Source organism: Homo sapiens, chromosome 5 (genome assembly GCF_000001405.40).
Source record: "Homo sapiens chromosome 5, GRCh38.p14 Primary Assembly".
NCBI classification, from domain to species: Eukaryota; Metazoa; Chordata; class Mammalia; order Primates; family Hominidae; genus Homo; species Homo sapiens.
This window is the reverse complement of record NC_000005.10, coordinates 179,552,149-179,565,792: the sequence shown is the minus strand read 5'-3', so window position 1 is coordinate 179,565,792 and position 13,644 is coordinate 179,552,149. Positions and strand designations below refer to the sequence as shown.

Here is a 13,644-nt window from a genome sequence, read left to right as displayed (position 1 = left end):
TCCTAGGGAAATAACTGAAGACGGACACAAAGAAGTATGTTTCGGGATGGTCACCTCATCATTATCACGGTTTGTGGTAACAAGAATTTGAAGACAGCCACAAGGCGGGGTTAAACAAAATTAGACAGACAACAGAATATTATTTGGCCATTTAAAAAATGATATTGTAAATGAATATTCGATACACAAAGAGATTTAAAATCTAATATTAAGTGGAATAAATGGAAAAAAGGCTACAAAACAGTATATGCACTTTAATGCTGAATTTTTTTTGAATGGGCAATATCTTCACTTGGTTTAAAACCTAGAAAGTAGGCCAGGTGTGGTGGCTCACACCTGTAATCCCAGCACTTTGGGAGGCCAAGTGGGGTGGATCACCTGAGGTCAAGAGTTTGAGACTAGCCTGGCCAACACGTTAAACTCCCATCTCAACTAAAAATGCAAAAAATAGCTGGGTGTGGTGGCTCATGCCTATAATCCCAGCTACTCAGGAAGCTGAGGCATGAGAATGGCTTGAACCCGGGAGGCAGAGGCTGCAGTGAGTCGAGATTGTGCCACTGCACTCCAGCCTGGGCTGGGCGATAGAGTGAGACTCTGTCTCAAAAAAAAAAAAAAAAAAAAAAAAAAAGAAAACCTAGAAAGTATTAAAAGGCATATACTTGTCTCCTTGTCCTCCACCTTCCCATCCCCCTCCCCTATACACTAATATAGTGTCCTCTGTTTAAGTTCATTTCCGAAACATGTTTCTACACATGAAAACAGGTACCAAATATAAATTATTTTTCTCTCTCTTTTTACAAAAAAATTTAACATATTTTACATGCAGTTCTCAACCTGATTATTTCGCTGAGTATCTGTCATCTTGAAAATCTTTCCATATCAGTACACAGAGGACTTTACTTTTTTTATAGCTTTAGTGTGTCATTATTGGACAGCACCATAATTTATTTAGCTGGGTTAAAAAAAACTAGGGTGGTTCTAATCTCCTGTTACCAATAACGACTGCAATAGATCATTCTGTACATGTGTCATTTTCATGTGTTACATGTGTAGGATAAAATGTATGTAAGGGGAATTGCTGGGTCAAAGTGCAGATGATTTTTTTTTCTTTTTTTTTTTGAGATGGAGTCTCACTTCACTCTGTCATCCAGGCAGGAGTGGTGGCGTGATCTCTGCTCACTGCAACCTCCACCTCCTGGGTTCAGGCAATTCTCCTGCCTCAGCCTATAGTCCCAGCTATTTGGGAGGCTGAGGTGGGAAAGATCACTTGAGCCTGGGAGGTGGAGCTTACAGTGAGCTGAGAGACTGCACCACCACTGCACTCCAGCCTAGGCGACAGAGAGACTGTCTTAAAAAAAAAAAAAAAAAAAAACAGCCAGGCACAGTGGTTCACACCTATAATCCCAGCACTTTGGGAGGCTGAGGCAGATGGATCACCTGAGGTCAGGAGTTGGAGACCAGCCTGGCCAATGTGGTGAAACCCCATCTCTACTAAAGATACAAAAATTACCTGGGCCTGGTGGCAGGCACCTGTAATCCCAGCTACTTGGGAGGCAGAGGCAGGAGAATCGCTGGAACCCAGGGGGTGGAGGTAGCAGTGAGCCGAGATCACGCCACTGCATTCCAGCCTGGGCAACAAGAGCGAAACTCTATCTCAAAAAAAAAAAAAAAAAGAAAACATCAGGACGCCGTCTGTGTAGGTGCTTTACTCTTGAGGGAGTGAGTGAGCTGGACAGGAAGGGTATGAGAAATTGTACCATATAAAGAACAACTGAAGACGCAGGGCAGTAGACTTGAGAGGCTCATGAAAAAGGTCATTAAGGCCGGGTGTGGTGGCTCACGCCTGTAATCCCAGCACTTTGGAAGACCGAGGCAGGTGGATTACCTGTGGTCAGGAGTTTGAGACTAGCCTGGCCAACATGGCAACACCCTGTCTCTACAAAAAATACAAAAATTAACTGGGTGTGGTGGCACGTGCCTGTAATCCCAGCTACTCAGGAGGCTGAGGCATGAGAATCGCTTGAACCTAGGAAGCGGAGGTTGCAGAGAGCTGAGATTGTGCCACTGCACTCCAGCCTGGGCAAGAGTGAGACTCCTTCTCAAAAAAAAAAAGGTCATGAAATAAACATTTGAAAGCTTGGCAGGTGCAAAAGGCTTTAAATATAAGCGATGTAGGCCGGGCAGGCAGAATTTGCATAGAGGGCTTAAATCTAATCTTGAGAAGAATGCACAGGGCTTGGCAGCAATGGAGTTTCATGGGATTTGGAGGGCTTCAAGGCATAACAGACCTGTGTCCTCTTCCTGCTCCATCACTCACCTGCCAAGGCACCTCGGGCAAGTTACTCAACCACTCTAAGTCTCAGTTCCCACACTTGTAGATGAGGACACTAACAGCTATCCTAGAGGATGGCTGTGGAGGATTAAATGAGATAAATGAGAAGGAATGTTCTCAGCACAATGCCTGTCATTGAGCAGGTCCTGAGGGCAGTGGCTATTATTATTATTATCTGAAAATGGAATAGGCAGGCTCCCTAGGAGAAGGGTCAAATAAACGCTCAACAGTCCAGTCCCGTCTGGGAAACTCTGCAGAGGGTTCTTTTGCATTGGCTCAAGGATCCCTAAGACCCTTTCTAGATGCCAAATTCCATGAAGATGACTTATTTGTGTTCTGGACTGTTTTTGATTTTGAGCCTAAGCATAGCGATCCCAAGGACAAATCCAGACATGGCAAATAATTCGTTAGTCCCACCCTAACAAATTACAAATGTCCTTGGGCCTGGAATCTACAATCTGGCCCAAAATGTATTATTCAGAAAACTGCCCACCTGTGTCTGAAGCAGTGATTCCAGGAGTGTACCAGTAGTTCCTTTTCCTCCTGTGAGTGCCCTTTGGTTGACAACACCTTTTCAACCTATTTGGCCTGTGTGGCAAGCAGGAATCACTGTCCCCATTTTAAAGAAAAGGAAACTGAGGCTCAGAGAGAGTCAAGTCTTGCTAGAGATCATGTGGATAATGAGCAGCAGAGCTCTTTCCAATTAGAAAGGGCTTCATCAGCAAGGAATTGAGAAATGAGTAAATATGAGGGAGTTTTTAAAATCATCAAATTGGCAGAACTACTTCTCACTCACTTTAATTCTGGAAGATTTCTGACACTAGTCGCTATATCTGATGCTTCTGGACAAAGTTTCTCCACCAGCTCCAAAGGACCAAAGAATGATTTATTTTGGCCAATAAAACTCTTCTTAACTAAAAGGAAAAACAAAAGTGTTATTCATAAGAACAGGTTGCAAAATTTCTTCAGGGACCCACAGCCTCTCCCCACAAAAGCCAAGTGGAAGTGAAAGCTGCTAAACTTCACTGCTTAATCCTTTTTTAAAAATCTTTTTTGAGATGGAGTCTTACTCTACTGCCCAGGCTAGAGTGCAGTGTGCAATCTCAGCTCACTACAACCTCTGCCTCCCGGGTTCAAGCAATTCTCTGCCTCAGCCTCCTGAGTAGCTGGGGTTACAGGTGCCCACAACGCCGGGCTAATTTTGTATTTTTAGTAGAGACGGGGTTTCACCATGTTGGCCAGGCTGGTCTTGAACTCCTGACCTTGTGATCTGCCCGCCTCGGCCTCCCAAAGTGCTGGGATAACAGGCGTGAGCCACAGCGCCCGGCCTGCTTAATCCTTCTTGATTTACTCTTGGGGACTGGGAGAGGCCATGTAATAAATTAGTCTCTCTTTCTCTGGCAACAGAGTTTCTCTGATATGCTTACTGTGCTCTTTCTGGAAGTATGTATTGCCCATAGAATAAAACAGGCGCCTCAGCCGGGCACAGTGGCTCACACCTGTAATCCCAGCACTTTGGGAGGCCGAGACGGGTGGATCACGAGGTCAGGAGATCGAGACCATCCTGGCTAACACGGTGAAACTCCGTCTCTACTAAAAATAAAAAAAAAATTAGCCGAGAGTGGTGGTGGGCGTCTGTAGTCCCAGCTACTCGGGAGGCTGAGGCAGGAGAATGGCGTGAACCTGGGAGGAGGAGCTTGCAGTGAGCCGAGATTGCACCACTGCACTCCAGCCTGGGGGACAGAGCGAGACTCTTCAAAAAAAAAAAAAAAAAAAAAAAAAGAAAGAAAAAAACAGTTGCCTTATAGGCTCATCTACTATGAAATTCTTCCCCCTTTTTTTCCTTGATGGCAAAATCAAGGATTTATTTTTTTTTGTTTTTTTCAGATCCTCATCATCTGTACTGCTGTAATTGGTCTTCCTGCTCCTAATACTGTCACCTCCCCACCATTACAATCTGTTCTCTACATAGCTAGAAATTCTTTTAAGAACTGAAGTTAGGACACATTTCTCCCTTTAGGATCTTCCAAAGACACTAAGAATAAAATGCAACTCCTCATCTGACCTTTAAGGACATATATGGTCCAGCCTCTCCCTACTCCCCTGACCTCATGTCCTCCCCTCCTCTCCCTCAGCACACTTAGCACACCTGTTACCTGGAGTCTTTCTCAAGCTGAGGAAGGTTGGTCCCACTCAGAACCTTTGCATCTGTTTTAATTAATTAATTAATTTATTTATTTATTTATTTTTGAGATGGAATCTCACCCTGTAGCCTTGGTTGGAGTGCAATGGTGCAATCTCAGCTCACTGCAACCTCCGCCTCCTGGGTTCAAGAGATTCTCCTGCCTCAGCCACTCGAGTAGCTGGGATTACAGGCATGCGCCACCACGCCCGGCTAATTTTTGTGTTGTTAGCAGAGGCAGGGTTTCACCATGTTGGCCAGGGTGGTCTCCAGCTCCTGAGCTCAAGCGATCCTTCCGTCTCGGCCTCCCAAGGTGCTGGGATTACAAGGCGTGAGCCACCGCGCCTGGCCTAATAAGGCTTTTAAATATTGAATATGTGTTGAATGATATTTTGGATATACGGGTTCCATGAAATATATTATTAACACTAATTTTAAAACATTTTAGCAAATTAGGTTAACTTTTTTTTCTTAATTTTTAAAAGTTTTATCCCCACAGAAAGGCATCTCATCTAACACTTTTTTTTCTTTTTTCTTTTTTTTTTTTTTTTTTGAGACGGAGTCTTGCTCTGTTGCCCAAGCTGGAGTGCAGTGGCGCGATCTCAGCTCACTGCAACCTCCGCCTCCCGGGATCACGCCATTCTCCTGCCTCAGCCTCCCGAGTAGCTGGGACTACAGGCGCCCGCTACCACGCCCAGCTAATTTTTTGTATTTTTTTTTTTTAGTAGAGACCGGGTTTCACCGTGTTAGCCAGGATGGTCTCGATATCCTGACCTCGTGATCCGCCCGCCTTGGCCTCCCAAAGTGCTGGGATTACAGGCGTGAGCCACCGCGCCCAGCCTCATCTAACGCTTTTAAAGTAACCTGGCTACCAGAAACTTTAAAATTGCCTATATAGCTTGCATGCTATTTCTATTGGCCAGCGCTGCTCTAGGACGTCGCTTCTGAATACAGGAACCTTGCCTGTTCTGTACACTGCTGGCATTTCAGCATCTAGAAGGATGTCTGGCGCTGATGAAAAAATGCTGAGCAAACACCCAGCCCGAACTTCCACGCTCCCAAACGCCCCCTCAGGCTCACCTTTCAGCCCATGTTTGAGGCAGTGCTCCATCACTACAAAGAACTGCTGCAAGGGGGCATGGTCCGCATCCAGGCTGCGGCCCAGGCTCAGAGCCGACTGGAGCAACACCTTGATGCTGAGTTTCATCATGTGCATCAGGTTGGCACGCTCCTCCATCATCTGGCACTTAGAAGCTGTGGGGCAGGAGCAGGGATAGCTTCGTTAGTGGACTGAGCGTGGGGAGGTCAGACTCCGGGCAACGGTGAGAAGACGGGTCAGGCAGGAGGCCAGGCGGTCTGCTTAGGGAACGGACGTGCTGGCGGGCGGGCAACCGGGATTCGCAGGTAAGTAGTCCCTGATCCCTAGAGGCCACAGCCCCCTACCTGGACGGCGGGGCCTTGGGTCAGAAGAGCCACTGGGCCTCCTGCTCCAGAGGCCTCTCCCAGACGGCTCCGCGCGTTGCTACGGCGACGGCTTTAGCAAGACTCGCCGCGTTTGGCTTCTCCCGCAACCCCGGTTCCATTTTTGACCAATGGAAGGGCGCTACCTACAGGAAGCCCTGCCCCAAGCTCTTAGAGGGCGTGCTGGGAAAGCGTCCCGCCCCCAAACATTCCTATTGGGCGAGTCCAGCTCAAGGCCTCTCCTACGGAGCTGGTGGGCGCCATTTTGCACCCTCTGTCCCGGACGGAGGAGGATGCGCACCCCGCCCAGAAGGCTTTTCCAGCCTTCTCTCTTGCCGGATAGTGCCAGCCGGGTGCCTGCAGGGAAGCATCTTCCCCTCAGCTCCAGGCTCAAATTCTTGTTGCCGATCTTTCGTCCGCTACTAGTGGACAATTTTAGGTTTTACGCACACTTTGTTTTTTGGTAAGGAAAACCGTTGGAGTCAAATGAATTCAGAGAGTTCCATTTCAACTCCCATTATCTTGTCGCATTGCCTTGAGGGTGTAATAAAGACTGTGTGCAATTATCATCAGATATCTATACGTGCTGGCCAAATGCTCTCTGAAACCCAGTAAGCTGGTATCCTAGAAACTAAAAGTTTAGATCCCAAAGTAAGAGTCCTGGCAGGAAAGTCCCAGGTGCGAAGCGCGGCCCTCACCCGGGCGCGCGCGCGCGTTTACATTGTCTTGGAAATATTTGCCAATTGGAATGGGGGCGGGGGATCGTATTGTTTTTGGTTTGCAGCTGTCCAATTACTACTGAGGTTAAATAACTTCTGTTTATTCTCTGCTAGTATTTCTTCTGTGAATTGCTTGCTCAATTGACTTTCGTGTTGAATTGCTTGCCTTTGTCTTACTGACCTGTATATTTTGGATACTAATCCTTTACCTGTTTTATTTCACCAGCATTGATTAATATGGACAATTAAAGAGCATATTTATACGTACTATATTTTTATATAGTTAATTACAGTTAAATCTGAACGATAATATTATGGCCGTGAACTTGTAGTAAAGGTCTTAAATAAATACTGAGACATCCTGGGACTAAAAATTCAAAATTATCTCAGCAAAACCCAAGAAGGTAGGGGGAGAGCTGCTGGGCAAGAAGAAACAGCCTAAGCATTTCACCTTGGTTGTGGAGAGGGTTAAAAGTGGCTTAAGTAAAGCATTTCGTTGGGGGTGGTATAATTTTTTTTTTTTTTTGAGATGTTGTTTCACTCTTGTTGCCCAAGCTGGAGTGCAATGGCGCCATCTCGGCTCACTGCAACCTTCGCCTCCTGAGCTCAAGCAATTCTCTTGTTTCAGACTCCCGAGTAGCTGGGATTACAGGCATGCGCCACCACGCCTGGCTAATTTTGTATTTTTAGTAGAGACGGGGTTTCTCCATTTTGGTCAGGCTGGTCTCGAACTTCCAACCTCAGGTGATCCGCCCGCCTTGGCATCCCAAAGTGCTAGGATTACAGGCGTGAGCCACCATGTCTGGCCAGTATAATTATTTTTATATTTCGAGAGAAGCCTATGTATTATATTTATAAATTTTAAAACTGTAATGGATGATTGGCAAAGGAAATAAAACTTGTAAAACTTCATCAAGAGAAGGGAGAAACTCTGAAGACAGCAATAACCATAAAAGCAATTTGTAAAGATTTATCTTTAAAGAAGACACCAAGCCCAGTTCTATCATCTAGTGGTCTTGAAATTGGAATACATATACAGCAGTCTTGCCAAAGCTAGGTATGCCCAGATGTTTTAAGGAACTCAATTTCCAGATTTTCAAGTTTCACAGGCACTCTTTCTCCTCCCTCTAAAGAAGGGCAACTCACTCCATAACCTGTCTTCCTCTTGATACGGTGACCTGGGGTGCCCTAGGTTCCATACACCAAATGGAGGTGGTGTCGCCCTTGATGATTAAGTAATCAAAAACATGAAGACCAGCCTTTTACTGCTTTATGGTATTCAGTTAAGCTTGGTCTTGGGGCAGAGGGGTGGTCTCTAACCCTCTGCTTGGGTGTCCTAAATTTAGAAAATTAAATTTTTCTCCCTACAAATCTATGTAATTATGTTCAACCAGTCAATATTCACAACCCTAAGATGTGCCATTAGCTTGATGGCCATTTTCCGTAAATTAAATGAGCCCAAACTGCAGCTAAGTATTTGATGAAAATGGATTTGAAATACATGATAAACTAAAAGTATTTTTGTCAAAAAGTACTGTATTGGCAAAGGTGAATGAAATAAGCAATACTCAGATGTCTCCAACCATTCTGAGTATTCTGGGTTAAACAAAGTGCCTAAGTGAAAGAATAAGAAGTGAAATTATCCCTTGATAAGTCTTTTTTTCTTTTGAGATGGAGTTTTGCTCTTGTTGTCCAGGCTGGAGTGCAATGGCACGATCTTGGCTCACTGCAACCTCCGCCTCCTGGGTTCAAGAGATTCTCCTGCCTCAGCCTCCCCAGTAGCTGGGATTACAGGTGCCCGCCACCATGCCCAGGTAATTTTTTGTATTTTTAGTAGAGACGGGGTTTTACTATGTTGGCCAGGCTGGTCTCGAACTCCTGACCTCAGGCCATCCACCTGCCTCAGCCTCTCAAAGTGCTGGGATTACAGGCATGAGCCACCGTGCCTGGCTCACACTTGATAAGTCTTGGTAAAACTTTTGTTTTGGTAACTCCCAACAGTTGAGAAATTTTCTTAATATGATTAGGTTGCAGGTCAGGTAATTTTCAATTATTTGCTTTGAATGAAAATAAGGGAACAAAAAATAATTTTTGGCTTTAGATCAGTGTGATTTGGGGCATATAACTTGGAAAGAGTTCAAAGATGACCAACATTACTAAAACAAACAAACAAAAAACAGGACTAAAACTGATGCTGAATTCTATCACGCTTTAGCAGTAAATCATATATATTCATCTACAGATATATGCTAATGACAAAAACCAACACCATTCATCTCATTTAGAGATGCAATTCATTGGCTGGGCGTGGTGGCTCACGCCTGTAATCCCAGCACTTTGGGAGGCTGAGGCAGGCAGATCACCTGAGGTCAGGAGTTCGAGATCAGCCTGGCCAACATGGTAAAACCCGTCTCTACTAAAAATACAAAACTTAGCTGGGCGTGCTGGCGTGCACCTGTAGTCCCAGCTACTGGGGAGGCTGAGGTGGGAGGATCACTTGAACTCGGGAGGCGGAGGTTGCAGTGAGCCGAGATTGCGCCACTGCATTCCAGGCTGGGCAACAGAGTGAGACCCTTCTCAAAAAAAAAAAACGCAATTCAAGAAAAATTTATGTATAATTCTTTATAAAAATTATATTTATGTTCCTGTTACCAATGTAGCATTACTAATAAACTTAATGATAATTCACTCCAGAAGAAAAATTTTTATACACTTAGAGCTTCAGTCACAATAAAAATTTATTAAACTTTAACTTATTTACATACTTTTTGCTGAGACTTATAAGATGACCAATAACACTTTTAAAAACATACAAATCTATTACATTAATTCTATGGCAGAAGTGGAATGGAAATCCAAGTTCAATGAATAAAAGGGAAAATGTAAAATTTTCAAATATTAAATAACTTGCTATTTTAAAGATGGATGGTGGTAATTATCAATTCATTAAGGTATTTACATACCACTTGATACATTTCAAAAAACAATGTAACAGTTTTATTTTAAAAAGTCAATATTTACACTATGCCAGAAAATGAATTCTGAGCAACTTTAAAATATGATGAATAATCTTATACGTTAACTTTAAAAGTTAAGTTTTCGGCTGGGAGCAGTGTCTCATGCCTGTAATCCCAGCACTTTGGGAGGCCGAGGTGGGCAGATCACTTGAGGTGAGCAGGTCACTTGAGGTCAGGAGTTTGAGACCAGCCTGGCCAACATGGTGAAACCCTGTCTCTACTAAAAATCCAAAAAATTGAGAAACACCCAAGAATGATCAATTAAAAAAAAAAAAAAATCCAAAAAATTACCTGGGCGTGGTGGTGCATGCTTGTAATCCCAGCTGCTTGGGAGGCTGAGGCAGGAGAATCGCTTGAACCTGGGAGGCGGAGGTTGCCGTGACCCGAGATCACGCCATTGCACTCCAGCCTGGGTGACGAGCAAAACGCCGGCTCAAAAAAAAAAAAAAAAAAAAAAAAAGTTGGGAGTTTTCTTAGGGGGTTACATGAGCAAAAAATGTTAAGACCAGTGTTCCAGGCAATCAGCGCTGGGTGGTGCTGTCTCTGGAAGTGCTGCTGGCAGTGTTTTGCCATCTCATGCATCCCCTACTATGGGGTTACCTGTACCCATTAGCACTCAAGTTAGAGGCATGGAAAATTAAACCTGGAACGATCTTTTAGCGGTTCTATCTCTCAATTTTACTGGCTTTGTGACCTTGGCCAAACTATTCACATCTCTAAGCTTCATTAATAATAGTTCAACATGACACAGAGAATATCGTGAAGTTCTACACCTACTGAATTGCCAAATAAATTGCCAGGCCAGTATCAGACTCCTGGGCTCAAGCAATCCTCTCTCGTTGGCCTTTCAAAGTACTGGGATTACAGGCATGAGCCACCTGCACCCCGCCAGCATGTTAATTCTTAAAACACGCATGTTTGTTACTCATCCTTTAGGAAGCATTACTCTAAAAAGCAAGATACATTCCTTGTGGGTACATCCTATTGCTTGCGTGAAAACAGCCAGTGTTGAGAGAGGAAAGCACATGTGCTATGTGCGGAAACTCTCAAAGATACAATAGTACTGGGGAAAATTTCTGGGAAGGAGGATTTAGTATTTGTCCTTTTTTTTTTTTGAGACAGAATTTTGCTCGTCACCCAGGCTGGAGTGCAGTGGCGTGATCTTGGCTCACTGCAACTTCTGCCTCCTGGTTTCAAGCAATTTTCCTGCCTCAGCCTCCCGAGCAGCTGGGATTACAGGCGTGCGCCACCACGCCCATCTAATTTTTGTACTTTTAGTGGAGACGGGGTTTCACCATGTTGGCCAGGCTGGTCTCAAACTCCTGACCTCAAATGATCCGCCCGCCTCGGCCTCCCAAAGTGCTGGGATTACAGGCATGAGCCACCATGCCTGTCCGAATGTTCTTTTGTATGGTTTGATTTTTAAAAATCATGTTCGCTTATTACCTTAAAAAAAAATCCCCCAAAACCAAACAGGACACCTATGGACAATACAATCACATACCAGACCCCACATGGGAAAACTTTTCTTTTCTTTTTTTTTTTGAGACAAAGTTTTGCTCTTGTTGCCCTAGCTGAAGTGCAATGCGGCGATCTTGGCTCACAGCAACCTCCACCCCCCAGGTTCAAGAGATTCTCCTGCCTCAGCCTCCTGAATAGCTGGGATTACACGCCTACGCCACCATGCCTGGCTAATTTTGTATTTTTAGTAGAGACGGGGTTTCTCCATGTTGGTCAGGCTGGTCTCAAACTCCCAACATCAGGTGATTCACCCACCTCGGTCTTCCAAAGTGCTGGGATTACAGGCATGAGCCACTGCACCCGACCGGGACAACATTTTAAAACAAGTATTCAAAATATTCCGCAGCATTTCCTTTAGCTTCTACCATTGAAAAAATATCATCCAGCAAGAGTGCTGCTCACATTCAATCTCTGCTCCTAAACTGCTCCCTCTGAAAGTCCTGCCTGTCCTCATTGCTTGTGTAGGCAGATCAGTGGGGAAAGAGAATGAGTCAGCCTTGGGCCTGGCCCTGGCTGAAGTGGTGTCACTGTCTTTCTCCCATCCTGTTTTTCTTGTGTCGCTGCAGAGCGAGCCGCCCTTGGCCCATTTCCTTTCCCACCTCTGCTCCTGTCCTACCTGATGGCTTCAAATCCCGGTGACCTTTGGGACCAGCCTCATGGCTCTACCCAGCAGTTCCCCAAATTTCATCTCTTTGTAAGCCATGGTCACCATTTTGCTAGATTGAGTGGTAGTTATTAATACTTTCCTTAAATTGAGTTAATTATTATTTTTTGAGATAGTCTCGTTCTGTTGCCCAGGCTGGACTGCAGTGGAATGGTCTCGGCTCACTGCAAACTCCGCCTCTTATGTTCAAGCAATTCTCCTGCCTCAGCCTCCTGAGTAGCTGGGATTACAGGTGCGTACCACCAAGCCCGGCTAATTTTTGTACTTTTTTTTTTAGTAGAGATAGGGTTTCACCATGTTGGCCAGGTTGGTCTCGAACTCCTGACCTCAGGTGATCTGCCTGCCTCGGCCTCCCAAAATGCTGGGATTACAGGTGTGAGCCACCATGCCCGGCCTAGTTTTTTAAATCCATATGGGATATATATATAGACATTTTGCAGTTGGTGAAGTTACTTCTCTTTAATACTCTCTTTATAAAATAGGGATAATAATGGTACTCATCACCCTGTGCCATCTACATGATTTACAAGGCCCAGTGCAAAATTCCCGGCCTGGAGCAGAGCACAGAAGTCAGACTCCCCCTTACTACAGCCCTAATGGATTGCAACTTCCCTGCAGGGATGGGACAGGTGAGAGGCCCCTGCCCACTTGCCTGCCTAATGTGCTGTGGTACCAGCCACCCTGCCCTGAGATTCGGAGGGTGCAATCCCAACGCTGCCTGGGCAAGAGTGGGATCAGGGAGGGTAGGGAGAAGCCCCAGGGCAGCTCGAGTGGGCCAGGGCAACTGAGAACCTGTCCCATTGGACTTCACTTAAAAAACACAAATTCAAAGATAAAATTAAGAATTTCAAGCATGGGATACTTCTGAGTGCCTGGCCCTTTCCACCAGAGTGATCAAAGCCTGCATTGACTGTCCACCCATGAAGCTAGTCCTGCTATCACATAGGGTTGTTGTGAGGAATGAATGAATACTTGTACAGGTTTAAGACTAATGCCTGGCACCTTTGAAGGACAATATAAGTGTTGGCTATTGTTTCTATCACTTCCATAGATGGAACACAGGTATTTTTCAAATATGCATTTGTTCAGCAAACACTTATTATTCTGTGCCAGGTACTGACACATTTCATTTTATCTTTTTAATTTTTTCCTTGATTCTGCATTAAAGGAAAGAAATTCTAGCAGGGAAGAACTTTTATTATTTGCTTACTCCTGCCACGAAATATCTAAGAGGCCTCCAGGAGACGCCATGCCTTGACTTTCAGTACTGACTGTCAATGAGTATGCAACTCAGCATCCACTGATGTGTGGAAAAGTCTCGGGAAAAGGTGTCAAGCTAGAGGGCAGTAGATTCCCGGCCTGCCCAGGCTCTCATCATCCTCTAATGCTATTTTCCACTGCCAGGATCTCAAAACGAGTCAGCCTTTCAACTTTACTCAGTAATTATTCTTGACCACTGAAAATCTCACAATTCACTACCTGGGGTCAGTGCATCTACAGCAAAGGTACCAGTGGATGGGGAGGAATCAGGAAGCCTCGAGTGTGTGCTATGATGCTCCTTGGAAGGCACCACAACCTTTCCTCAGCTCTGTCCCAGCATTTTCTATGAAGTTGGCAATGTTCTATTATGTGCTATCTCATACAGTAGCCACTGGCCACACACAGGCTACTGAGCATTTAAAATGTGGCCGCTGTAATCGAGGAACAAGTTTTTTTTTTTTTTTTTTTTTTTGAGACAGAGTCTCGCT

The 13,644-nt window shown here is 44.9% G+C and overlaps 1 protein-coding gene and 1 long non-coding RNA gene across 14 annotated transcripts in view, besides 3 other annotated features; both read right to left on the bottom strand.

The window, feature by feature from the left end:
* Nucleotides 1-13,644, bottom strand: part of LOC128966623 (uncharacterized) — a 130,785-nt gene that overhangs the window by 87,449 nt on the left and 29,692 nt on the right.
* Nucleotides 1-13,644, bottom strand: part of RUFY1 (RUN and FYVE domain containing 1) — a 59,459-nt gene that overhangs the window by 44,220 nt on the left and 1,595 nt on the right. For 6 of the 13 annotated variants that reach the window (XR_245276.4, XR_245277.4, NM_025158.5 and 3 more), the window contains exons 2-3: nt 5,595-5,768; nt 3,129-3,246 (exon numbers count right to left, since the gene is read on the bottom strand). Coding sequence is in view for 8 of the 13 variants with exons in the window: in NM_025158.5 (NP_079434.3) it covers nt 3,129-3,246; nt 5,595-5,768 (292 nt within the window). In the remaining 5 variants the exon portion in view is untranslated. Of the gene's footprint in view, nt 1-3,128; nt 3,247-5,594; nt 6,063-10,002; nt 10,140-13,644 lie in introns of those variants that run through there. The other 7 variants (XR_007058644.1, XR_007058643.1, NM_001040452.3 and 4 more) reach the window with 4 other exon arrangements.
* Nucleotides 6,241-6,360: an enhancer, noted in NCBI's record as "active region_23751". NCBI's record gives its function as "activates an Ori minimal core promoter by ATAC-STARR-seq in GM12878 lymphoblastoid cells {active_cell/tissue: GM12878}" and the evidence as "EXISTENCE:reporter gene assay evidence [ECO:0000049][PMID:35858748]".
* Nucleotides 9,978-10,154: a silencer, noted in NCBI's record as "fragment chr5:178982640-178982816 (GRCh37/hg19 assembly coordinates)". NCBI's record gives its function as "represses an EF-1alpha promoter that drives an FKBP-Casp9 reporter gene in an ReSE screen in K562 erythroleukemia cells {active_cell/tissue: K562}" and the evidence as "EXISTENCE:reporter gene assay evidence [ECO:0000049][PMID:32094911]".
* Nucleotides 10,859-11,359: an enhancer, noted in NCBI's record as "H3K4me1 hESC enhancer chr5:178981435-178981935 (GRCh37/hg19 assembly coordinates)". NCBI's record gives its function as "activates a minimal SCP1, AML or CMV promoter by ChIP-STARR-seq in primed H9 embryonic stem cells {active_cell/tissue: H9 hESC(primed)}" and the evidence as "EXISTENCE:reporter gene assay evidence [ECO:0000049][PMID:30033119]".